This window comes from Homo sapiens, chromosome 16, assembly GCF_000001405.40.
Source record: "Homo sapiens chromosome 16, GRCh38.p14 Primary Assembly".
Lineage (NCBI taxonomy): Eukaryota > Metazoa > Chordata > Mammalia > Primates > Hominidae > Homo > Homo sapiens.
The window spans coordinates 71,159,240-71,186,451 of record NC_000016.10 but is presented as its reverse complement, the minus strand read 5'-3'; the positions used below and the strand labels follow the sequence as shown (position 1 = coordinate 71,186,451).

The following is a 27,212-nucleotide window of genomic DNA, read 5'->3' as shown; positions in this document are numbered from 1 at the left end:
CAAAAACAGTCAAATATCAGAATTTCATAGGATTCAACCTAATTATTTACTACCTACCGATTGGCAAGAGTAATTTTTGTTTGTATATTTATAGAACACAGAGCATTAAAATAATGACTAAGTGGTATTTAAGAAAAATAGGTATTTTTCCTGTTCTTTAAAATAAAACATATTTATAGCTTTAATTATTTATAATGATTGGTGATAATTTATGAACCACATGCTGTAGAAAATATTAGTAAAAATGTATAGTGCCAGGGATAGTATTCACTACATTTTAAAAACTAATCTTAAGTTACATTCCAATTAGAGAAATAAAATCAATCATTATTCTCTTTTGTGATGGTTGTTGGTACATATTTAAAGAAACTCCTGGCATTTTGCTTTTAAGACCTAATTATTTTAATTTAAATCACAATATAGCTGACACCTCTTAACATTTTATTGTCCTTATCTGGGTTCCAATCAAAAAGATCTTAACCAAGTTGAAAGCTGTATTAGAAATATACCTTCATTTAAATGGATTAAATCACAGAAATAAAATTTGTAGAAAAATAAGCATTTTTAAAGTACATTGTGTTTAACCCAAGGCAACATAAAGCAGCTAAGTTATATACCCTCAAATGTTTTGTAAAAATCTTGGCATATACTTGAGCATTGTGTAGCTGCCAATGATCATAATCTCCCTGCACATATAGTAGGAACATTCTAGAACCACAATAACATTGGTTCTGGGTAACTAATCCCTTGTTGGGTTAGTTTTATTTAAATGCTAGGTTACTTTTTTTTTCTCATAACATTGGAAAGGGTAAAAGCATTTTGTGTTCTTACTGGGGTGTGTGAATGTGACTGGCTGTGGGATCTGCTGATTAGCTCAGAGCTCTTTCAAAGCGAGGTCTAAATGCACCCTTGTGATGTCTCTAAAGTTCAAACTCATTCCTAAGTGATGTAGTCACACTTCCTAGATCTTTGCAATTTTATAAGATTTCTCTCTAACATCATATCATAGTTAAACACCCAAAAGCTTTGTTTGCATATTGTAATGTTAGTTGAGAAATAGAGGTATTTCAAACTCCTGGTTTTTGAAGCCCTTGAGTGACTTTACAAACTGAGAGTTTTATGCACAGATGCCTCTTCTGAGCATAAATGTTAAGCTCTTTGGACATGTTCCTGTGCAATTTCTTGACTTTTTTCTCTCAGGTTCTTTTGTGTGATTCCTTCAAAATCATAAGGAAACAGCAAACACATGTCATTTTCAATTACCGTGCAAAGACCTCAAAAGTGCGTGGGTACTTCTCTTATATAATTTACTTATTTTAAATATTTTATAAGGGAACTTAGTGGCATTCCAGAATTATCCTGAAAGCTGCAAACACAAATTATTCATTACTGGTACTTATGAAAACACTTTTTCAGTACATCCACTTAAGAATCTTTGGTTCTTATTGTTTTACATTCTAGCTTACACCCTCAGAGTTCCTGAAGGAAATGTCCCTGACCACCGAGCAGAGACTGGCAAAAACACGTTTGATGTGCCGACCACAGATCATCGAACTCTTAGATATGGGGGAAACAACACATCAGAAGGTAGCTGCTCTCTGTCGTACTTACATATAAAGTGGGCCCTGGCACAACACCAAAATTCCAGAACAATAAGTAAAATTTGTTTCTTGGCTACCTAATCCTTTATTGGGTTTGTTTTCAATCCTCCTTTTCTGCCTCTGAATGTCTTCATATCTGTGATTTGGTATGGTGAAGACTGCAAGTGCAAACCTCTTTTAAAATAACTTTTGACTAGTTATACTTCTTTCTTAGCTACTTCTGAATACTATTTGACGCTATAGTTTACACAGGTTAGGAGTAATTCTAAGAATTATATTAGTCAAGCCCAATTAAGTTATTGTCTTAGTGTAACAAGTAATCTCTCCTTATCTGAGCTGCCCACTAGAAAAGAAGGAGTTGGAATTGTTAATTAAAGTAGGCATTCGTTGTCTATTCTGGCTCATTTCCAGTAACAGACATATCCTTTTGTCTCTAAAGAATAGTGATTTTATCATGTTTCTATATTCGAATGTAAACCATACCTTCCAGGCTTTAGGAGCATGTGATTATAGAAGGTCTGGTTTCCTATTTTTTAATTAATTTCTTAAATTATATCCTTTACTTTTAATGCACAAATTATGGTATGAACCTCCAATAGTTGGGCTGCTGGGGAGATTAACCTCTTCTCAAAGAGTTCCTCAGAATTTTCCTCTGAAAATTCCTGAGAGTTTTTCAATGTTATGTTCCTCATGAAGAATGAGTCTTTGAGGCTTGTCTGCTGTTACTGCTACACCATTGCTTCCTTTGTCTAGGATATGCATAAGCTTCACTGTTCTGAGCATTGCTAGCTTTTTATTGTTTTGTCTGTTTCCCACAACCACCCTCCAAATTTGAGTGGAGGGAACATGGTCTTTTCCAAGACATTTCTTCTAATTAAGGACCATTTCCTCTTTTCTGAAAGCATAACACATAACAGGCTATGAGGAGTTTTTCATGTGTACTACTAGTGTATTTTAATGTGTTTTGACTCTGCTATAAAGGATGAGGAAATCAGATACTTTACACTTTCTCTCCTCTCCTCTTTAATTCAGTTGGTTATTTTTAATTTATATGCTGAGATTTAATCATTTATCTCTTAGATGGGTGGCAGTCATCTACTAATTTCTTCAATAAGAGCTTATGAAGACTGTATTTCTTTGTTTTATGTGTTTGATAATATTTGTGTCTTGCCTTTATACTGAACTGCAGATTTGTTACTTATGAAATTCTTGGGCCACAAATTTTCATAACAGCTTTGCAGGCATTTTCCCTATGACCTTCTGACTTTAAATGATGGTATGTAGAAGTCGGAAGCCAGCCTGATTTCTCCCTCATAAGTTAATCTTTTAGCCCATGTGCCCAAAGATTGTTTGTTATTATTTAAAGTTCAGTATTAGGATACACTACATTTTTCCTGAGGTACTGTGCGCCTTTATTTTATTTTTAGAAAGTTTTTCTTGAATTATCAAGTATTTTTTTCATATCATTTTTCAATGATGAATATGTTGGACCTTCTTTGTCTGCCCTTCTACAGCTTGCATTTCCTCTCTCATTCATTTTTAACTTTCTGTTCATTTCCATTGCATTGTCATTACATTCATTAGGCTATCCTCTGTGTCCCTTACTTTGAGTTATGTATATATTTCTTTTATGCTTCATTTTTTACCAGACCAGACCTGGTTCAACAGACCTCTTTAATCATCCCGCTTCTCACCACTTCCTCCACCACCATTCCAGTTTAAGCCACCATTATCTAGAATACTGACATAGCCTTCCTATTTCCATCTCATTCTCCCTCTGCCCCCATTATCACAAAGCAGTAAAAGTAATCTTTAAAATGTAAATCAGAACATATTGCTTCCATGTTGTCTCATAGCATTTGATACAGTGAGCATCTCTTTTTTGTACCCTTTTATTCACTTGTATCTGACATGGCATACTCATTTGATTTTCTTTCTACTTTTCACTGGTTGATTTTTGCTTATTTTATTTGTTGGATTATTCACTCATTTCTGATCACTAAATATTAGAGCTCCCAGTACTTGGTACTTGAACTTCTTTCTCTTGTGAACTCACAACTTAGGTGACTTCTTCTAGGAAAAAAGGCTTTAAATTCTACTTTTTGTTGTTTACTTTTATATTTATATCTCCTGCCACTGTCTATCCCCTGAACTCTGGATCATATAGTCAGCTTAATGTATGGTTGGCAGCTCAAACTTAATATATTTAAGATCTAATTGTAGCTTTACATTCCATCTCTAAAAGCCTGATCTTTCCTCTTTGTCTCTTTCTTCCTGCTTTTCATACCCCCACTTATATGTTTTCCTAGACCAAACACTTTGGAGTTGTATTCCTGATGCCTCTCTATTTTACATCTTATGATCCAATGATAAGTGCTATGAATTCTGCCTTCACAAATGTGTCTTTAATCATACTGCTTCTCACCATGTTCTCCACCACCATTCCAGTTTAAGCCACCATTATCTAGAATATCAAAATTGCCTCCCTGCTTCCATCTCGTTCTCCCCCTGCCCCCATTATCACAAAGCAGTAAGAATGTTTTTTTAAAATGTAAATCAGAACATGTTACTTCCATGTTTAAAACCATCCAGTGACTTCCCATTACTCATATAATAAAATCTAAACTCAGTGCCAAAACCTCCAAGGTCCTGTACCATCTAGTCCTGCCTTCCTCACGGACCTCTTTGCCTTCTACTCTTCTCCCTCTCAGTCTCTTCTCAGTGAATTTTCCCTATGCTGCTCTTCAGACACTCAAAGGTAATTTCCACCTGAAGGACTTTGCACTTGCTTTCCCTTCTAACTGGAGTGCTATTCTAAAATCTTAGTGTGACTTGCTTCAGACCTCTACTTAGAAGTCATCTCAGAGAGGCCTTCTCTTGACTGCCTATCTAAAAGAGCAGCCACCTCCCAGTCTGCCATCTCCTTGTCCTGCTTTAGCTTTTTTTCACAGCCTTTTCACTACCTGACTTTATGTTCTGTATTTCTATATTTTTTGTATGATCGCTTGAGCTTCAAGAATGTCAACTTCATGAGGTTAGGGCTTTTTTTGGCTTTGTTCACTATGTTCAGCATACAAAAAAGAACGTGGCACATGTTGGAAACTCAATATTTATTGAATGAAGACATGAATTTTTAATCTCTCCTAACTGCTCACTTCTTTACATTCTTAAATATTTGCTTTGTGCTCTTTGACTTTTTTTTCCATTATGCTCTTTGAGCTTATGGTGAAATGATGTAGTTAAGACTGATTGCTTAATGGCAGAAATTCAATTAGCCAGAAATTAAAGAGTATATACTGTATTATTCCACTTATATAATCAAGAAAACTAACCTAAGATGTGAGAAGTAGATTAGCTGTGTTACCTTTGTCATAAATCAAGTGACCATATATTTAATAATTGGTTTGGGGGCTTTCTAATCTGGTACATTTATTTTTCTGATAAATCTTGTGCTAATATCTCATTATCATTACTGTGGTAAGTAACAGTATATGATATGTAATAATATAATTATCATGTTGTGCTACCTGATATAGCAAATCCTCCTATCTTGTTCTTCGAATGTATCTTGTCTATTCTTGGTCCTTTGCATTTCCGTATAAATTCAGTCAGCTTTTTTGTTTCAAAAAAAAAACTGCTGGGATTTTTTTTTTTAATGTATTGCATTGAATTTTCAGATAAATTTGGGGAGTATTTGACATCCTGAAAAAATTTCTTTTAATTTATGAAAATAGTGTATTCCTGCATTCAGTTAGGTCTTCCTTAATTTCAGTTAAGGTCTTCCTTAATTCCTTAAAACAATAATGTTTTTAGTTTCTGGATAAAGGTCTTATACATCTTTCATTGGATTTGTTTCTATGTGTTTTACATTTTAGGATACTATTTTAAGTAATATTGTTTATAAATTTCATTTCCTAAATGTTCATTGCTAGTACCTAAAAATAGAATTGGTTTTGATATGTTGACCTTGTACTCAATGACCTTGATAAATCACTTATTAATTCTAATAAAAGAATTATTAGAATGATTTATTTGTAGGTTATTTTGAATTTTTGAAATAAGCAATTACTTTGCCTGGGGAAAATGACAGTTTTGTTTCTTCTTGTTTGATTTCTAGTATTAAAACAACCTTGAATTTCTGAGATGAACCCAACTTGGTCATGATGTGTTATCGTTTTTATATAGTGCCAGTTTCAGTTTCAGTTTGCAAATTTTTTTTCTCTTTCTTTCATCTATCTGTCTATCTGTCTATGGTTTATGAATGAGACTGGCCTATAGTTTTCTTTTCCCTTAGTGTCTTTCTCAGATATATAAAGGAGGTTATGCTAACGTTATAGACTGAGTTGGGAAACATTTCATTTTTTTGTTTTTCTTTTCTTTGGGACAGTTTCTATAATACTTGAGTTGTTTCTTTTATGTTTGGTAGAATTTGCTTGTAAAGCTATCTGGGTTTGGAATTTTCTCTGTAAAAGGGTTTGTTTACAGATATAATTTCTGTAACAGTTTTAGAACTATTCAGATGTTCTGTTTCTTCTTGTGCCAGTTTTGATACATTTTTATTGTATTTTTCTAGGAATTTGTATTTTTATCTATATTTTCACATTTATTGACATAATATTTATTATTTTTTTACTGAATTTGGGTTCTATTGTAATATTCCCATTTCCATTCTTTCTATTTGTTCTTTGTGCCTTCTGTCATATTTTCTTGATCAAACTCATGAGGTATTTTGTCAATTTTATTAATCTTTTTAAAGACCTGAATTTCACTTTGTTGTTTTTATAGTATAGTTACTTTTATTTCATTAATTTCCTCTCCTGTTTTTGTCATGTCAATTTTTTTCTTTATTTGGATTTATTTTGCTATTTATTCTAACTTATTAAGATGGATACTTACAGCTGCAGTTTTCAAACTGTGTGCCAAGGTGCCCCAGGGCGCAACCGTGAACTCACAGGGCATCATTGGATAGTCTGAATTTTCAAGGGAAACCTGGCACTACCCAAAATCTACTGGATGCTAAACAGGCTACTAGCTTGGGGTAATTCGTAGTTTCAGCATTGGATGATGCTATATTCACTTTGATGATGTCATACTTTACAAACCTGGCTTCTCAGTGGTTGGTTAAATAAAAAGCAAGTACTTTGTTAAAATCAAAATAGAACAGGAAATGAGGGGTCCAAGTCCAATTTGGTTCTGTTGTGCAGTGCCCAACCAGGGCACACATCCCATTAGTAAGCTAGTTATTTGTATTATTGTTTTGTATGATGAGAATTCATTTAGAGTAACCACATATTTACCCCTTTATTATTCTCCTTTCCTTCCTGCATCTCTGAACTTCTAAGAGAAATTCTCTTCTCCATAAAGAATACCCTTTGGTATTTCCTTTAGAAGTTGGTGACAACATTTTTCAATTTTTATTTCTCTGAAAATGTGTTTATTCAAACTTCGTTTTTGAAGGGACTTTCCCCAGGTAAAAAATACTATGCCTGCAGAGGTTTGTTTTTTTTTTTTCAGGATTTAAAAAATTTTATTCCTCTGCCTTCTGACTTGTGATGTTGAAAAGTAGGCATGTGTTTTTGCTCCTTGAAAGTTAAATATTCTATTTTTCCCTCCAGTTTCTTTTACACATTCTTTTGTCCTGTGTTTTAGTGCTTTTACAATGATGTACTTGGGTATGGATTTCTTTTTGAATATTTCCCATGTTTAGTTTTAATATCCACAGGTCTACGTAGTATTTTCTTATCTTCCCCAGTCATTTTTGTCAATGTGTGACTATAACAATAATTTACTCTTTCAACTGAAGTTTTCAGGAATTGACCTGGATCAGGCATTATTCCAGCCCTTTCCATCAGAAATTATATTTCAGAACTACACTCCCTGTGAAGTCTATGAAGTTCCACTGATTTTGAGGAACAATGACAAAGTGAGTATGTTCACTGGGGTGGGTGAACTGTTCCAGGATATATGAGAATGGGTTAAAGTAAAATGAGATCTTGAGGGATCTTTGATAAGTTCTTTAATTTGATAGACTTAGGAAAATAGTATGAAAACATCTTCTTTGATTGTAAACTTAATGACGACAAGGCTGTGTCTGTTTGTTGCTATATGTTGAGTCCTAACCAGTGCCTAACACGTAGTGAACTCCCAACGTGTGCACTAACTTTTGTTGATTAAAGGATTGACCAGATGAATGTCACGGGGTTCTTATGTATGACAAATTGGGCTAGGTTTTTATTTAAGATAGGGAAATTACTATTAATGTTTATGTAGTCTTCCTTAGAGACATCATTTCCCCAATTCAAGATATAAACCCTACTCATGAGAATTGCAATTGTTGAGCATATATATATGTATGTCTGTATATATATATATGTATGTGTGTGTGTATATATATATACATATATATATATATATATTTTTTTTTTTTTTTTGAGACAGAGTTTCACTCTTGTTTCCCAGGCTGGAGTGCAATGGTACGATCTCGGCTCACTGCAACCTCCGCCTCCTGGGTTCAAGCGATTCTCCTGCCTCAGCCTCCCCAGTAGCTGGGACTACAGGCATGCGCCACCACACGCAACTAATTTTGTATTTTTAGTAGAAACAGGGTTTCTCCATGTTGGTCAGGCTGCTCTCAAGCTCCTGAACTCAGGTGATCCACCCACTTCGGTCTCCCAAAGTGCTGGGATTATAGGCGTGAGCCACCGTGCCTGGCCGAGCATTTATATTTGTATTTTACAATGCATTTATAGTCTGCAAATTGTACCTTTTTAAAAGCCTTCTTTTCACTTCTAAAAAATGTAGGTCCCTTTCCTTTTTTTCTGTCTTCTTCTTTCTGTAGAAGATAGCCTTCAAAGTTTGTCTACAGTCAGTTTTGAAGGCTTCTCTCACTGTCTATGTCTTGTCTCTTTGCAATTGTAATGGAAGATTTCTTTTTCAGCCTTATGACTTTTTCTTTAGAGATAAATTAGGGTTTATTTCAAGAAAAGATATTAAATGCCTGAAGAGTTTCTTGACACTTAACAATAATGAAAGAAAGTAATGCAGAAGTTCAGCATGAAGCATACTTGAGTGTGAAAAGTAATCAGATGGGGAGGAAGGCATTGGAGAGATGGGAAATCTGGGTATAAAGACAAGGAGGAATACTTTCAGGGGTCTAAGAATGTGGAGACAAAAAATTCTAGCTATAAGACAAAATAGAAATTAAGTAAAGACTATGCAAGAATCCAAAGCAAATGGACTTGCAGTTATATTTGGTACAGCAGCTCATTAAGGGAATCAGCGATGCCTTGCAGAGATCAGTGGGGTGATTTAGTGACAGCAAAGCCAGACTCTGGAGAAAATGGTCTGTTTCATTCTTTTCTGCAGTAGCATTAGTAAGAGAAGCTCATGGGTCAGAAATGAAAGGGAAGGAAAAGAACTGGAGGTACACAAGATTGTGTTCCTAGACCTCAAGAAGAGGTGCATTGCACAGACATTAGGGCTCTATCTTTTCATGCAGTTCAGTTCTCACTTCTGACTCTCTTTTCCCTTTCTATATTACTTTTTGACTCTTGCTGAGGTATTTTTAGCCTACTAAAGTGGTACAGTCCAAAGCATCCTCTCTGACCTTAAACAAGAAATGGTCATCAGTGGTTGTTTAATAGCAAGTCGGGGTAAAGGGCACGTGTGAGTTTTGTCTGCCAGACACTCAGTTCTCATGGATAACCAACATCTCTTGATAAGATGCAGCCAGAGTGCTGGCCACATGGAAAGAGGGTCCCATCCTAGGAACGCCCAGCTACCAAGAGGCAGACAGTTCTCTCCAGGCGAGGCAGGCTTGTCCTCTGGTGACTCCAGGACCCTCATGCCAGGTGGCTGATGTGACCCTGCTCCTCTGCTTCTTTAGTTCACAGTTTCATAAAGAACCATGGGGAGAGATTTGGGGCCCCGAGAAATGCTTTCACCTTTTATTTGCTTCCTCACTGTCGTGGGGTACAAAAGATAGAGCCTGTCAGGTTATTACTTTTGTGTCTCCGTCCCTCACACACAGAGGATGAGAATAAGCCAGAACACTTGTGATTTTAATTGGGTTAAAATGATAAGGACCCACACTCCAGAGTCAGACTAATCTGGGTTCAGATTCCAGCAGAAGAATAAGACTTTAAAAGAATGGAGCTGTTGGGAGCTGCTCTGAGACTGCTCTGGGGGATCTCCTGCTGCTCTTTGCTCTTGCTTTGTGGTGTTTACTCAGGACCATCCCATGGAGAGGTGGGGTGGAGTTTGGCTGGGACTTGACTCCCAGCACCTTTGCTTGGTGGAGCTGTACTACTGTAGACAAGTGTCTGTAGCATGGGAGTCAAAATGAAGCTCAAAGATTATGGTGAGGATGAGGTGGCATATAATGTGCTATAGATGGGCCATTGAAGGGGTGCAGGAAGTGTGACTTCTCTCAGAGCAGTTCTCAAATGCTCAAATGTTGGGAAATCCAGCTTAACTCCATTATGTGGGTGAGGTTTTAGCTGATTAAAGAGCCCTTGAAGATAGTCACTTTTTTTTTTTTTTTTTTGAGACAGAGTCTTGCTCTTTGCTCCCAGGCTGGAGTGCAGTGGCCCGATCTCGGCTCACTGGAACCTCTGCCTCCTGGGTTCAAGTGATTCTCCTGCCTCAGCCTCCCCAGTAGCTGGGACTACAGGCACATGCTACCACACCCGGCTAATTTTTTGTATTTTTAGTAGAGATGAGGTTTCACTGTATTAGTCAGGATGGTCTTGATCTCCTGACCTCGTGATCCTCCTGCCTCGGCCTCCCAAAATGCTGGGATAACGGGTGAGCCACTGCGCCTGGCTGATAGTCACTTTTAAATGATTTAATTTTAAAATGAACAAAGACTTGTAATAATAATAAAAATAACTAAGAATAATAATGTTAATAAAAATGAAAGCTAGAAGGTATTGGGTGCTTACTTTGTATGGGATAAAGATAAGTACTATCATCTCCTTTTATAGTTGAGAAGACTGAAGTTCAGACCTGACCAAGGTCACACGTCTAGTAAGTAGTTGATGGATTTCAGTCTGTGTTTAACTCTGCTTTTTCACATGCACGATGTTCATCATCATGTGTTTCCCTGCAGATTCCAAGGTTGGTGAAAGTTGTGGAAGAAAGTTCGCCTTACTTTAAAGTAATCAGCCCCAAAGATATTGGCCACAAAGTGGCTCCTGGAGTGCCTTCCATATTCCGAATCCTCTTTACTCCAGAGGAGAACAAGGTAATACCAGGAATGGCAAGAAATTGGACACTTGTACTGGCAGATTGCAGTTCAATTCTGAATATTTACAGAGGCGGTAGTGCTGGTGGTGGTGGTGGTGGTGGTGGTGGTATTGATGGTGGTCTTGGTATTGACATTTGTGTTGTTGTTGTTGGTGGTATTGGTGGTAGTGCTGGAGGGTGGTGGGTAGTGGTGGTAGTGTTGGTGTTGGTAGTATAGATGGTGGTGATATTGTTGTCATTGATGGTGGTGATGGTATAGATGGTAGTGGTAGTGTTATTGATGTTGGTACTGGTGTTGTTACTATTAGTAGTGTTGGTGGGTAGTGGTGGGTGATGGTGCTGGTGTGTGTAGATGGTATTGGTATTAGTAGTATGGTAGTGTAGTTGGTGGTAATATTGTTGTCATTGATAGTGGTAGTGGTGGTGGTGGTGTAGATGGTGGTGGTATTGTTGTCACTGATGGTGGTGGTAGTGGTGATGTTAGTATTTGTAGAGTTGGTGGGTGGTGGTGGTGTAGATGGTGGTGGTGATGGTGGTGTAGATGGTGGTGGTGCTGTCATTGATGGTGGTATAGGCGGTGGTAGTCACGAGAGGAATGCTGAGACAAAGGATAAAGATTTTGGCTTCTAGGAAGTTTGGGGCCTTAATTGGTTATGACTTTCTTCCCCAGATTCTAACTAGTTTGCAAAAGAGATCCAAGACTCAAACATAGAGATAATATCATAGTTTCAGCCTCAGTAATGGTAAAGCTAGAGCTGAGAGCAGAGGCCTGCCTGGCCTGCTCACCCCCATCAGCTCACAGGCAGTCTAAGAAGAGCCTGCAGTCAAAAAGGAGGCCATTTTCTCTCAGTACCACTGCAGTGGTGGGGAGGGGAATGGAGCCCAATCTCACTCTCCTCAGTCATGGAAATTCCAGTTCCTTCTAGGAGAGAAGGAGCAGGTATGGGGGCCTGAGGGTGGAGGCTTCCTCCCCACCCCTTCTCCAGGGAGTAGAATTGTTGGTCAGGTTTTGTTCTCTGTGGGCCTAAATGGGGACTTAGGAGGAGGAGAAGAGTTTTACCAGCATGATTGAAGGAGTGAGGACAGAGAACAAGTCTTAAATATGCAGAACAAAATGCAGGCTGTGTATCATGTTAATAGCAGGCATGCTTATCTGTGTTGCACTCTTATGGTTGGAGTCAGTAGAGCACAGTGGAGTCAGACAGAACTAGCTTGGAGTCCTTGCTTCTCCACCGCTAGTACCTATCGGCTGCTGTCAATATCATTACCAGTATTCCCTCTACTATTGCTGTTGTTACTACTTTTCTGGAGAGCAAGGATAGAGAATTTAATGTGGTTTGTTAAGTATGTACTCCTTGTGGTGAGTGGTTAAAAATTCCGTTATAATAATACCATTGCTATAATTTTGCCACTTTGTAGTATTACCATTTATATGTTAGGTTGTGTTTAGGAAACTACAATTTTGTTTGAGGTTCTACTGAAATAAATAAAAAGATAAATAACTGCAGATGTAGGGCTTTTTGTTGCATATTGTTGAAGTCCTCATTTTTTCTGGAGGCTCTATATCTGAATATTGTCTGTGGGGAGAACAGGGTCTGGATTTACTGTGGGTGTGAGATTCCTACACCCTCATTTTTGTAGGAAGCTGATTATAATCCTTTGTGCAGCTTGAAATACAAAGCATGCTGGATTTGAGGAGGTGGCTTTCCTTAGTTTTTTTCTGTGCTGGAGAAAATAGGTCTTCTGTTGGATAAGTATCGTTGTATCTGTACCTCATCTGACTGAAAAAGGGATACACAAGACTTTCTGGAGATGGAATGTTCTATATTGGCATGAGGATTATGTGGCTGAATTCATTTGTCAAAACATTTATATTTGTGCTTTTCAGTATATACATAAATTTTAGCTAAAAAAACCTGTATAACAATAGAAGGGGGAGGGAGTGGATAGAGGTATAGAGGGAACCAGAATGATAGAATGTTAAGAGTTTTTGAATTTGAGTGATGGGTACATTGGGGGTTTGTCATGCTAGTCTGTCTTCTTTGTGCATGTTTTAAATTTTCCATAATCAAAAGCTAGAAGAAGAGAGAGATTTTATTACTGTTTATCCTGCAAAGAAATAGTTGAAATGTATTTAAAATATGTTGCTATGTAGTTTATAAATATGAAATGCTAACATTTCTGGTGAGGATTATTGCTTCACTGTGTTTTGTAGCTGCTTATCTTACTCTCAGCTCTTTTATTCCTTCTTACCGTTCCACTTATCCAGCATTGCATGTTTATTGGGAAACCCCTAATTTAAAAAATTAACTGAGTTAAATGTTGTTATACTGTTACTTCTAAATGTTTGAAAGTTATCAAAAGCTGAATGCATGTTTGAGGAGACATAGTGAGGATAATGTTTACCTATGAGAAATTCAGCTGTCCAATTTTGGAGACATTAAGATCTTGTGTTGGACTTGGCTCTAAACTATATAATTTATTTCAAAAGACAGAGTTGTTTTCTCATTTTGCTGGCTAGCTAGCACTGATGATGGCGTAGTCAGTTATCTACATTCGCTTTCACTGTTGGAAAGTCTTCCTTAGAGACATCATTTCCCCAGGGCAGTGCGCAGAATGACCTGCTAGGGTTAGGCATGCTGTCTTTCGGGCTGCTCCAGAATGCAGCCAATGAGTGACTAGAGCCAGATTTATTTTAGGAAAAATAAAAGTCATTCATTTCACCAAGTGTCACTGTTTCTTCACTTGGCCAAATTGATAGCCAAAGTACATGCTTTTTTCTTTCTTATCCCCTGCTGATGTGAACACTCTCCATTCTCATTTACTCTCCTCACATCTGGATGGTAAGATATGTAAATTGCAGCATGCCACAGTTAAGCCAGCCCTCTTTCAATTGGATTTTCAGTACCCATGTATATTAGCATGTCGAAGATGATAATGCAATTTACATTTCCCTCCCGCCCATCATCTATTAATCTGGCTGCCTAGGGATGGAACTTGTTAAGAATGCCAAATGCCCAGATAACAGGTGCAGCAAATTTACTTTGGCTTTCCTTCTCTCTCCTCACTCAGACTTTTTAAAAAAAATGATTGGATATGTTATTAATCTAATAATCCTAGTGTACCTATCATATACTGTAGAAATGTGATAGCCAGTGTCATCATAAAATAACACTATAAAATTCTAGAGCCTGACATTTTTCTTGACCTCTTAAATTTGTATCTTTACCATTAAAATGAGAAAGAAAAATATTAGGCTTTTGTGGGAAAGCAAAACAAAGTACTTCCTTGGACTTAAGAAAGCATCTGTTTGCAATGTGTTGTCATACGGAAAAGGCAGCAAGCTTTGAAGAAAGCATGCAGTGGTGCAACTGGGTGGCTCAGTTATGGTTTAAGAAAATGTCTAATTTGTTGTCAAAATGGTTTTTCCAGTTTGTCACTATGAAATTTAAAAACCATAGCCCAAAAAGAGTAGAAAATGTTAACATGTTCTATGTTATCTATGTATACAATAATAATAAAACTATATTGCCAGCAATTTGAATTTAAATGTCAGTATCATAAAATTGTCCACAATCAATGACTTTTGTTGGCAAAAATAATGATCAGGATTTTGTTTTCCTCCTGCCTGAAATTCGCCCTCCCCAGTTCTATCTGGATCACCCCTGTAGCCCCAGTACCTGGCACAGGGCCTGATACATAGAAAGGGTGCAGTAAATATTTGTGGAGTGAGATAAGTAAGTAAAAGTTAATCTAAGAAAATATAAAGAAGTTTCTTTGACTTGAGGTTAGCCTACAGATGAGAAGAGCATGTAAAAAGGGCTCAATTATCTTTTTGTGTCATGAATATATTAGATATTAACTTTCTTCTTTGTCACTTCAATTAACAGTAAGATGTCTAGGAAGTCTTCTCTAAAAAGAGTTTCTCTTTATTTTGTTTCATATTTCCAGATAGTCACATCCATGCTTTTTAGCTTTATGGACCTCATAAATGTAATTTGATAATAAGGCTAACAAGGATTTTAGGAAATTTCTTTATAAAAACTCCTGATAGTGTAGTACCCAGAAAAGATTACAAATGAATAATATTATTTCATTTACTCAGTGCCAGGCCCAGTTTTCTGAGCCAGATCCAATGGAGAATAGAACAAGCTTTAGCCTTCATGGAGCTTACATTTCACAATGAATAAACAAACAAACAAATATATACAATTTAATGTCAGAAATTGACATAGTAGGGGGTAGGGAATGATAAGGGCTCTGCTTTCTTTCAAAAGTAAGGTCAAGGAAGACTTCTCTGATAGGAAAGTCAAGGGAAGGCTCTCCTGTTGAGGTGACATTTGGGCTAACTTAAGATAACTAATTTAAGCCGTGCAAATATCTGAGGGAAGGGCTGTCTAGGAGCGGGAACAGCAAGTGCAAAGGCCTTGTGGCAGAAACACGCTTGGCAGCCAGCTCGGGAAAGTACGAGAAGGCCAGTGGGGCTGGAGCAGAGGAAGCTGTTGGAAACATGGTAGGAAATGAGATTCCAGCAGGTGAGCTCATGAAGGATCTTAGAAGCCATGCAAAGTGGGATAGGAAGCCACCATAAAGTACTTCAAATATTTTTATTATGGAAGGCTTTCTTTTCCTCATATGCAAAAGTAGAAAGAACAGCAGAGTGTCTTTCTACTTTCTGCTGTCATCACCCACCTTTTCAAATCTCAGCGCATGACCAGTCTGGCTTCATCTGTCCTGCCCCTTCCCCCAGTAGATTTTGAAGCAAGTCCCATACAGCATGTAATTTCATCTGTAAATATTTTGTGATTTTTCTCTTAAAGATAAGGGCCTTTTTAAAAGTTAGCATAACCACAGTACCATGATTGTGCCTAAAAAACCACAGTCACTCCTTAATATCATTACATATCCAGTCAGTAGTTTGGATCTTGATTTAAGAAAACCAACTTTAAGAAGTTGGTTTTTAAAAAAACCATTGCATACCAAGTGCAACAATGGTTCACAATTAAGAAAAAGTTTGTTTTTTTTTAAAGTTGGTTTTCTTAAATCAAGATCCAGACAAGGTTTGCTGATTGCATTCCTATCACGTTGTTTAGAATGGCCCCTTGCTGCCTGTTGCCTGTAACTGATAGTTAGATCTATAGCCTTGATTAGATTCAATTTTTTCTTTTTGATCAAGAATCCTTCACAGGTGATGTGGTACTTCCTAGTGCATTATATCAAGAGGCACAAAATGTCTGTTATGTTTTATTTTGTTTTTGTAATGATCCAATAAAGATCATTCCCTACATCACTGAGGGTTAAGTTTCTAATTCCATAATTTATTTTGCACTTACTGGTTGGAATTATTCTAAAAACAATAACAACAACAAAACCAAAACTTTCCCTCACCAGCTTTTCAGCTCCCCTGAGGTATAGTCCATTCAGGAAAGATAGGAGAAATGCTTGATCCTCTCCTTTTATCCAGCCTGATGGGTTGTGATTAGGGATGACACAATCTGACTTACATTTTAGGACCACTCTGGCTACCAAGTAGAGAATAGGCTGAAGCAGGGCCACGTGAGGCATCACCGCTAGTAGCCTCCCCTTGACATTCATTTTCTCTTTCCTCATTGGTAAGAGAACCACAATTTAAAAAAATAATTATTTGTAATTGACAAAAATTGTATATATTTGTGGTGTTCAACATGAGGTTTTAATATATATACACATTGGAATGGCTAAATAAAGCTAATTAATATATACATTATCTAATTAATATATACATTACCTCACATACTTATAATTTTTTTTGTAGTGAGAACATTTAAAATCTGCTTTCTTAGCAATTTTCAATTTTACAATACATGGTTATTAACCATGTTGTATAATAGGTCTCCTGAACTTCTCCTTGTCTAACTGAAATTTTGTACCCTCTGACCAGCATCCCCCAATTCTCCAACCCCAGTCCCTGGGAATCACTGTTCTACTCTCTGCTTCTATGCATTTGACTGTTTTAGATTCCACATATAAGTCAGATCACGTAGTATTTGTACCTCTTATGCCTGGCTTATTTTACTTAGCATAATTGCCTCAGTTTCATCCATGTTGTCACAAATGATGGAATTTCCTTCTTTTTTAAGATTACATAGTATTCCATTGTATATATATGCCACATTTTCTTTTCTTTTTCTTTTTAACAGAGTCTCACTCTGTTGCCCAGGCTGGAGTGCTGTGGGGCAATCTCAGCTCACTGCAGCCTCTACCTCCCAGGCTCAAACAATCCTCCCACCTCAGCCTCCCTAGTAGCTGGGATTATAGGCACCCGCCACCATGCCCAGCTAATTTTTTTAAATTTTATTTTTGGTAGAGATGGGGTTTCTCCACGTTGTCCAGGCTGGTCTCGAACTCCTGAGCTCAAGTGATCTGCCCATCTTAGCCTCCCAAAGTACTAGGATTACAGGCATGAGCCGCTGTGCCCAGCCTACATTTTCTTTGTATGTTCATCCATTGATGGACACTTGGGTTGATTCAACATGTTGGCTATCGTGAATAATGCTGCAGTGAACATGGGGGTTCAGGTAGCTCTTCCACATACTGATTTCATTTCCTTTGGATATATACCCAGAAGTGGAATTGCTAGATCATATGGTAGTTCTATTTTTAATTTTTTGATGAACTGCCATACTGTCTTCCATAATGGCTGTACTAATTTACATTCCCATCATCAGTGTACAGGGAGAACCACAAATTTTGATTGGACATTTCTGCCTGAAATAAGAAATTACATTTCCCAGCCTCCTTTACAGCTGCATGTAAGTGTCGGCCAATGAGATGTGAGTAGGACTCCAAGGCACCTGGTTGAAGAGAGCTGACAACAGCAGGAGGTGACCTGTCCCTTCTGCCCTCCTCCTTCTGCCCTGCAGCTTGGCTGTGAAAGAGTTGGGTCCCAGGAATTACTCTGCCCCACAGGGTGACATCGAGGATGGGAACTGCATGCTAGAATGGTAGAGCAGGAATTTAGGAATTTGAGTCTCTGATGACACTGTTGAGCCACCCTACCGACCTGGCCTACCTACCTCTGGACTTCTTTGTATAAGATAAATAAACTTCTGCCTAGTGTAAACTGCTCTGATTTTGCTCTTTTTCCTTTTATAACGTAGCTGACTGATCCCTGATGCATACAGGGGGCAGAGGCTACTATAGTAGTTCAGGTAAAAGATAAGGAAGTTTGGATGAGGGTGGTGACAGTGAAGGTGATGAGAAGTAGGAGGAGTAAGGATGTATACTTTTTTTTTTTTTTTTTTTTGAAGCAGGGTTTTGCTCTTGTTGCCTAGACTGGAGTGCAATGGTGTGATCTCTGCTCACTGCAACCTCCGCCTCCTGGGTTCAAGCTATTCTCCTGTCTCAGCCTCCCAAGTAGCTGGCATTATAGGCACCTGCCACCACGCCCAACTAATTTTTTGTATTTTTAGTAGAGATGGGGTTTCACTATGTTGGCCAGGCTGGTCCCGAACTCCTGACCTCAGGCGATCCACCCACCTCAGCCTCCCAAAGCGCTGAGATTACAGGCATGAGCCACTGTGCCCAGCCGGATGTATACTTTTATTGTACAGCTGCCAGGATTTACTGATGGATCGATGATACGAGAAAGAAATGCACCTAGTTTGAACTGTAGGATTTTGGCTAACAACTGGTCAAATGGTGGTGTCATTTACAGAGATAGGGAACAGAGGAGGAAAAGCAGGTTTGTGAGGCTGGGTGTTCAGTTCATCAACTGAAGTGATTGCTTAAGCCTGCAGGCCATCGGAGCCTCCCTAGTCATAACATCTGAATTAATTGTAAGCCAGCAGAGCAATATATAATGATGTATGATCTAATATAGTCATATTAAGTGCATAACTTCAGAGATTGGAATACATTTTAAGGGACTTGTTTAAAGAACCTTATATTCTTTTATGGGTGTGTGAATTGATTATGAAAAAATTTATAATGCAAATCAAACTTCAAACCTTCCTTATTTGGGAACTTGAAAAGGTCTGAAAACATCTCTCTCAGTATTTCAATTAGCCTCCTAAACTATTTACAGCTGCCTTTAATTCCTTCTAGAACAAGGCAGCGGATATGTGAGTACAGAATAAAATGAGACAAACACTTCAGGATCTCCTCTTATCCTGGATTCAGCAGCATCTTTTGTTCTAGCTCTCAACGCCTCAGTTAATGCTCAGTCTCCACATGTGCCAGGGGCTTTTCAGTTTATAATTCCCAAAAAAACATATGCTGGCTGGATTTGATCGCCTAAGAAAAAGCGAAAATAGTACTTATCTCTTTAGGATTCTGTAGTAATCAGACTAGGCTGTTGCATTGTTGAATTATGTGGGGTTTTCTAAGATCAAGTGTGCTTAGTGCAATTTGTGCTTCCTCATGTCTAGATAGCATAAGTTTTGAGTCTGGCATTACCATCTGGAAACCAGAATCATTTGCAGAGCTAACAGTCTAACAACTCAATTTTTAAAATTTTATTTTTATTTTTGTTTTTATTTTATTTATTTATTAATTTTTTTGAGACAGAGTCTCACTCTGTCGCCCAGGCTGGGGTGCAGTGGTGCGATCTCGGCTCACTGCAGCCTCCATCTCCCGGGTTCAAGCAGTTCTCTGCCTCAGCTTACTGAGTAGCTGAGACTACAGGTGTGAGCCACCATGCCCAGCTAATTTTTATAGAGGCTGGGTTTTGCCATGTTGGCCAGGCTGGTCTTGAACTCCTGGCCTGAAGTGATCCACCTGCCTCAGCCTCTCAAAATGCTGGGATTATAGACTTGAGCCACCACGCCCAGCCATTTTAAAAGATATATTTTAAATAAAAAGTATTTTTGTGGGTACACAGTAGATATATATATTTATGGGGTACATGAGATGTTTTGATGTAAGCATGCAATGTGAAATAAGCACCTCATGGAGAATGGGGTTTCATCCCCTCAAGCATTTATCCTTTGAGTTACACACAATCCAGTTACATTCTTTATTTAAAAATATACTAGCAACCCAGTTTTAATCAATTTCTTGAATCCTATTTATTCCTTTTTATGACTCACTCCTGCCTTAGGACTTGTATGTTTGCAGTTCCCCTTGGCAGGAGCACTCTGTTCCTAGATCTCACCCAACTGGCTCCTTTTGCTGTTCAGGTCCCCATCCGAAGGTCACCTCCTCAGGAAGACCTCTTTAGTTATTCTAACCTAAATCAACCCCATCCGATATTATCACTTTCCTGTGCTTTATTTTCTTCAAAGCCCTCATCACTTTCTGAAATTATCTTGTTCTATTATTATTATCCTTATCAGTATATAGATGGCTAGATGGCTCACTACCAACGAGAGTAAACATATGTTGAATTTTTCCTATATGCCTTACACAAATTGTACTTAATACAAAAGTCTGATAAGGACAGTTAACATTTATTGAGTACTTACTACTTGCTAAATGCTGGGCTAAGTACTTGCCCACACAAGTCCACATCTGTGTCATCTCATGCCTGGACTATAGCAGTGGCTTCCTAACTGGCCTCCCTCTTCCCGCTGCAGTCCGTGGCCCACATAGCAGCCAGCGCTTTTTCTAAAACGTTACTCAGGTTACATCAAGATCAGCTTTCAGCCTTGGGAATGCCTTCAGCCCTCTCACGTCCTAACAATGGCTTACAAGATCTCTGGGATCTGGCCGCCACAACCTGTTGGCCATGTGTCTAACCACACTCCTTCCCTTGCTCCCCTCTGGCCACAGGTTCCAAATCACACTTCCCCCAGACAGCCATCCATCCACATGGCTTCATTTGTCACTCATGTCTCTGCTGAAGTGTCACCTCCTCATAGAGGCCTTTCCTGACCGCCCCCCTCCCCCTCACGCCATGTAAAAGAGCTCTCCAGTCTCTCTGTCCCCATATCATGATTTATTTCCCGTCACTCATCACTACCAAATGTTCTGTTACCGACTTTCCTTCCTTTGGGAAGTATTTGTTGAGTAGTTGCTAGATACTAGGCTCTGTTCTAGGTACTGGGTATACAGAAGGCAAGAAGATGGGCAAATCCCTCTTGACATGGAAATACGGGGGAGACATGCACTACACTCACTGGGGAGGTAGAATATACGATATACTAGATGGCTCTGGGCAAGACTAAAGCTGGACAGAAGGTAAGGGAGTGATGGGGCAGGAGAGGGAGAGTTCCATTGAAAATAGGGCAGTCAGGGGAGGCCTCGGGGAGACAGTGGATCGCCGTGCCAAGTGCTGAAGAGGTGAGGGGGTGAGCACCATGAATAAGTAGAGGGAAGGAGAGAACATCATGTGCAAAGGCTCTGAAGGGGAAACCTGTGGCTGCAGGGGGAACCAGGGGAGAGGAGGAGATGTGGCCAGAGAAACGATGGGGGCACCAGACCACGGGACCTTCGCAAGTGCGCCAGCCTCAGCCTAGGTACTTTTCAGCGGAGAAGCAGCCTGAGCTGACTTACATTTTTACTGGGTCCCTCTGACCCTTGGGTGGAAAATAGACTTTAGGAGAGCAACGGTTGAAATAGAAAGTCCTGTTAGCCTGGGAAAGATCGGAGTGGCTAGGACCAGGGTGGCGGGGGTGGAGGTGGTGAAGAGTGATTACAGTTTGGATATATTTTGAAGGTAGATCCTATGGATTGTATCAAGAAATTGAGAAACAGAGCATGAAAGGATGCCTCATTTCAGGGTTCTAAAGCCAGACCGCTGGAGAGATGCTGCAGTTGGAGAGAGGGTCAGACCTTAGCTGTCTTTGTGGAGCCTTTGTGGGTACTAGAAAAAGGTTCCCCCTTTGGGCTGAAGCTGTTTTGCCTCCATTCCTGGCCCTCAGCAGAAATCTTTATGCACAGTAGCAGGCAGTGACATTCATCAGGAGCTTTGGTTTGGGACATAAGTTTATATCCAATGAGATGCTGACTGGGCAGCTGGTTATGAGTTTGGAGCCCAAGGGGACAGATAGAACTACAGGCGTAAAGGCTATTTGTGAGCATTCCTGGCAGTTTTAGCTTTATATTTATTTATATGTGAGTTGCACTGTACATTACATATCCTTTATTCATCTGTTCATTGTCTCCTCCATCCTGATGTGAGCTGGAGGAGGACCGTGACCATGTCTGCATTTCCTAATTGGTTGTATTCCTAGACCTAGCACAGTGCTGTGCTGGCACCTGGGCACTTAATGAACATAGTTGAATGAATAAACTGGGGATGCCACTGCTTTATGCTTGTCCTGTGGCTTCATGAGGTTGAGTATGTGGCCAGCCCTGTATGCCAATTTGTATGCCAGATGGTCCCATTCTTATTCTATGTCCAAAGCCCAAAAAGAGCTTTTTTTAAAACCTCCACCACTTACTACCGTTTATCACATGGTTACCAAAAGGAAATTTCTGTTCAAAATGACTTTTCATTAATCAAGACTCCTTGCAGCTAAAACACACAATAAAAGGATGAGAAAATGAAGGAAAACAAAGCTTTTTTTAGATATCAGATACCTTTTATGGTGACTTCTTTTAACTTTTTCTTTGCTACATTGCAGGCAAATATGCTATTTCTATCTTATGAGATGGCATAAAGAGTGACTTTATTCAGCATTTCTGTTGCATTTAAACTCATGACTGGAGAAGAGAGATGCCTAGGGCCTCAGCATTTTTATTTGGAATGGTCAGAAATGGCTTTGTGCAAGAAGTGAGGTTTCAACTGACTTACGCATCAGTTAGCTAGTTCTGTATGATTACAAACAATCCCACATTTAGTGGCTTAAAATAATAAGCACTTATTATTGCTCACAAGACTGTGGTTCAGCTGGGTGGTTTTTCTGGTGTTGCCTGGGCCCTCTCATCAGGTAGGGAACTCTGCTTATTGTGGCTAGGCTCACATATCTGGGGATCAGCTGGCTCTAGGCTGGTCTAGCATGGTCTTGGTTGGAGCATCCAGGTGCACATCCTGCAGTAGGCTGGACCAGGCTTGTTCACATGCCATTGGCAGGGTTCCAAGAACAAGACTGGGTAGACCCAAAGCTTCTTGAGGTCTCAGCTTGAAACTGGCATAGCATAACTTCGGCCACCTTGTATTGCTGAAAGCAAGTGGAGTGGAGACTCATTACTTGATGGAGGAGCTGCAAAGTCACATTGCAAAGAGTATAGGCAGAAAGAGGCCATTAGTTAGAAACATCGGCCGGGCGCGGTGGCTCACGCCTGTAATCCCAGCACTTTGGGAGGCCGAGGCAGGCGGATCACGAGGTCAGGATATCAAGACCCATCCTGGCTAACATGGTGAAACCCCGTCTCTACTAAAAATACAAAAAATTAGCCGGGCGTGGTGGCGGGTGCCTCTAGTCCCAGCTACTCGGGAGGCCGAGGCAGGAGAATGGCGTGAACCCGGGAGGCGGAGCTTGTAGTGAGCAGAGATTGCGCCACTGCACTCCAGCCTGGGCGACAGAGCGAGACTCTGTCTCAAAAAAAAAAAAAAAAAAAAAGAAACATCATTCTAATACATGGGCTTGAAGGAGAACTAGGGTTTGGAAGGAGGACCTGAGGGAACTGTTGTGAATCTTCTTGGATCTACAGGAGAAATGGGCCTGGCCTTCCACTGACCTTCATCCTACCTCCCTATTGCCTGACAGACACATGAAGCATAGCTTCTCTACCAGCTGTAGGTTTTAACACTAGATCTGTTCTCTCTCTCTCTCTCTCTCTCAGAAAAGACAATCTCATTTGAAAGTACTTCTGTAATTGTTTTAAGATGTTTTCATAGAACTATACTAAAAGTTGTTTTGCAAAATGCCTCTCATCGACCCTTTTCTTGAACAGTTATCGTGATCATGTTGCTTTTTCCACAAATAATGATCATACCCTTCCCTTGTAGGATTACGCCCATACGTTGACCTGTGTTACTGAAAGAGAAAAGTTTATTGTACCCATCAAAGCTAGAGGGGCACGAGCCATTCTCGATTTTCCTGACAAGCTGAATTTTTCCACTTGTCCTGTCAAATACAGCACCCAGAAGATTCTGCTGGTACGAAACATTGGCAACAAAAATGCTGTATTTCACATCAAAACTTGTAGGTATGCATGCCTTTAGCTCTTGTCTTTGATTGATTATAGCTAAATCTAGTCAGCTCAAGTAATTTGCTACCATAACATTGGGGGGTGGAATTGCTTGTTACAGTCTTCAGTTGCAAAGCTGGGAGACCTCACTGATGTAGGGTAGACTTCCTCTTCATCCTCAGAGGAAACAAAAATTCAAGGTTTAATATCTTATATCCATATTATACTAAATCCTCTTTTTGGTTCTTCAAAATGCTGGATAAAAGTCCTTCTTTTAGTACAGAGAATGGCCCATGAGAATATAGAAATAAATTTGTCTTGACTGAGAATTTTTATAACTGGCTTGATTAGTTTTCTGTTGCCATTGTAACAAATTGTCACAAACTCAGTAGCTTAAAACAACACAAATTTATTATCTTACTTTTCAGTGGGTCAGAAGTTGCACTGGGCTAAAATCAAAGTGAGAGCAGGGCTGCATTCCCTTCTGGAGGCTTGAGGGGAGAGTACATTTCTTTGCCTTTTCCAGTTTCTAGGGGCCACCCACATTCCTTGGCTCATGGCCCTCAGTTTTCTTCTCTGAAAAATGGGGAAAAGTATACCAGCCACTTCATAAGGTTGTTGGGATAATCAACAGAAACTGCTGGTATATATCAAGTGCTGTATAATCGGTGTTTGCTCTTTTCTTTTTCCTTCAAATGAGCTATGGCCAGTGTGGTAGACAGAATGATGGCTCTCCAGACATGTCCATATCCTAATCCCCAGAACCTGTGACTGTATCATGTTGTATGGCAAAGGGGAATTAATATTGCAGATATAATTAAATTTGCTGATCAGCTAATGTTAAAATTGGGAGATAATCCTGGATTCACTGGATGAGCCCAGTGTAACCAACAAGGGCTTTTAAAAATAGAAGAAGGAAGCAGAAGAGTTCAGCGTGGTGAGCTGTGAGAGGGACTCAATCTGCTGTTGCTGGCTTTGGAGGATGAGAAAACCGAGGGATAGAGAGGTCACATCATTTCCTGAAGAGCACAGAGCTAGTAAGTGATAGAGCTGGATTTTAATCTGAGTATTTGTGGACTAACCACAGTGTAGACACCATGGGACAGTATAAAGCAGGTGTCCCCAACCCCCGGGCCATGAACTGGTACCGGTCCAGTCCGTGGCCTTTTAGGAATCAGGCTGCACAGCAGGAGGTGAGTGGTGGACAAGAGAGCAAAGCTTTATCTGTATTTACAGCTGCTCCCCATCACTAGCATTACCGCCTGAGCTCCGCCTCCTGTCAGATCAGCCGCGGCATTAGATTCTCATAGGAGCACACACCCTATTGTGAACTGTGCGTGTAAGAGATCTAGGTTGCATGCTCCTAATGCCCAGTGATCTGTCACTGTCTCCCATCACCCCCAGATGGGAACGTCTAGTTGCAGGAAAACAAGCTCAGGGCTTCCACTGATCTACATTATGGTGAGTTGTGTAATCATTTCATTATATATTACAATGTAATAAGATAGAAATAATGTGTGCAATAAATGTAATGTGCTTGAATCATCCTGAAAATATCCACCCCACCCCCAATCTGTGGAAAAATTGCCTTCCATGAAACTAGTCTCTGGTGCCAAAAAGGTTGGGGACTGCTGGTATAAGAATGATGAAACAACCCCATCTCTCAAGGACCTCTCTTATAAGATGGGAAAGAAGGATTTGTTTTGGGGCATGAGAGCAAGTGGCTGACCAGTGGGGTCTTAAAAAGAACAACCAGCTTGGGAAGACAGGAAGCAGGGGTTCAAGTTCTTTTCTATAAAAAGTGGTATGTATATACTGGATTTAAGTTCTGTTTTTAAAAAGTAGTGTGTATATACTGGATTTAAGTTCTCTTTCAGAAGGGCATTATCTGTGGCATCCTTTGCTGACTTAATGACTCATTTGTCCAAAAGGGATTAGAATTTGCTTCTACTTGATTCCCAAAAGTTAGGCTACCATGGAGTACTCTTTTGGTAATTTCCTACCTTAGGAGTTCCTGGACTGATAGCTCATATGCAAATCCCACACCTTCATAAGACACAAGTTCAAGTTATGAATGTCCTAGAGAAACTTTGTTCCTTTAATTAAAAACTCAGATACACACTTTTTCTTTTGCTGATGGGAGTGTGTTTGGGGAGTCCTTCACATTTCTCAGGTTTATACGGGGATCTGGTACCAGTCCCCTAACTTGACCATTGTGAGGCCTTGTCTCCGGCTCCAGCAGGGCTATTAAAAACCCAGGCTTCTGGGCTACTGGGAACCCAGGGCAGACCTATCATTAGCTCAGTGGCTTACTGCTGTGGTTCTTAGGTTCCTCTTTGTTTTGGAATGGTATGAGTTTTTCTTATTTTTGTGCATGCTCATTTATGCATTTATTTACATTATCTTTTATCCAGTCTTTCTAGGTATTTTCTGGTGGGAGGGTTTTCAAGTGACCCACTTTGCCATACTGTGGGTAGCAGCACTGCCATATTGCCAGTTGAGGGCACATCCTTTGGGAGGGAATTTGTGTTTATTTCTCCAAGTACTCTAGGTGAATCACTCTCTCTGAACTATTTCGTGTAGATCCACATTTCTGTCTGATATCCTATTTCTCCTGGCTTAAAACTACCTTTAATATTTCTTGTAGCACAAGTCTACTGTAAATTCCCTGTTTTTGTTTATCTGGAAAAAAGTGTTTATTTTTCCTTCATTTTTGGAAGATATTTTTTTTCACCATATAGAATTCTGGGCCAACAATTATATATATATTTTTTTCCTCAGTACTTTAAATATGTCACTCAATTGTCCTTTGACTTACATTTTTCTAATGAGAAGTCTGCTGTGATTCTTATCTTTGTTCCTCTGTATGTAATTGTCTCTTTTTCTTGGGCTACTTGCTGATTTATTTGGTTTTTGCAGTTTGGAAATGATGTGTCTAGGTGTAAGTTTTGTTTATGTTTTGCTTTTTGTTTTAAAGATTTTGTTTTGCTTTTGCTTGGTTTGGGTTTTAATTTTGCTTGAGGTTCTCTGAGCTTCCTGAATCTTTCATTAATTTTGGAAAATCTCAGCTATTATCTCTCCAAATTTTTTTTTTGTTCTATCCTCTTTCACTTTTTCTTCTGCTTGCAGGAAAGTTCTGCCTGCCACAGGCGAAAGCCACAGTCTAAACCGTATGTGCATATCCCATCCCCCTCGGGGGAAATGGGTTGGTCTGTCTTTAGATTTCAGGCTATTTGATGTGCTACCTCTGCTCTCTGACAGGCACAAGAAAGGTTGTGATTTTGTTATTTATTTCACTTTTTCTTATGG

The 27,212-nt window shown here is 39.3% G+C and overlaps 1 protein-coding gene across 4 annotated transcripts in view, besides 1 other annotated feature; it reads left to right on the top strand.

The window, feature by feature from the left end:
- Window positions 1-27,212, top strand: part of HYDIN (HYDIN axonemal central pair apparatus protein) — a 428,639-nt gene that overhangs the window by 44,271 nt on the left and 357,156 nt on the right. For all 4 annotated transcript variants that reach the window (NM_001270974.2, NM_017558.5, NM_001198543.1 and 1 more), the window contains exons 3-6: window positions 1,462-1,587; window positions 7,405-7,524; window positions 10,711-10,845; window positions 23,722-23,921. In NM_001270974.2, coding sequence (NP_001257903.1) covers window positions 1,462-1,587; window positions 7,405-7,524; window positions 10,711-10,845; window positions 23,722-23,921 — 581 coding nt within the window. The remainder of the gene's footprint in view (window positions 1-1,461; window positions 1,588-7,404; window positions 7,525-10,710; window positions 10,846-23,721; window positions 23,922-27,212) is intronic.
- Window positions 24,931-25,131: a silencer, noted in NCBI's record as "fragment chr16:71195224-71195424 (GRCh37/hg19 assembly coordinates)". NCBI's record gives its function as "represses an EF-1alpha promoter that drives an FKBP-Casp9 reporter gene in an ReSE screen in K562 erythroleukemia cells {active_cell/tissue: K562}" and the evidence as "EXISTENCE:reporter gene assay evidence [ECO:0000049][PMID:32094911]".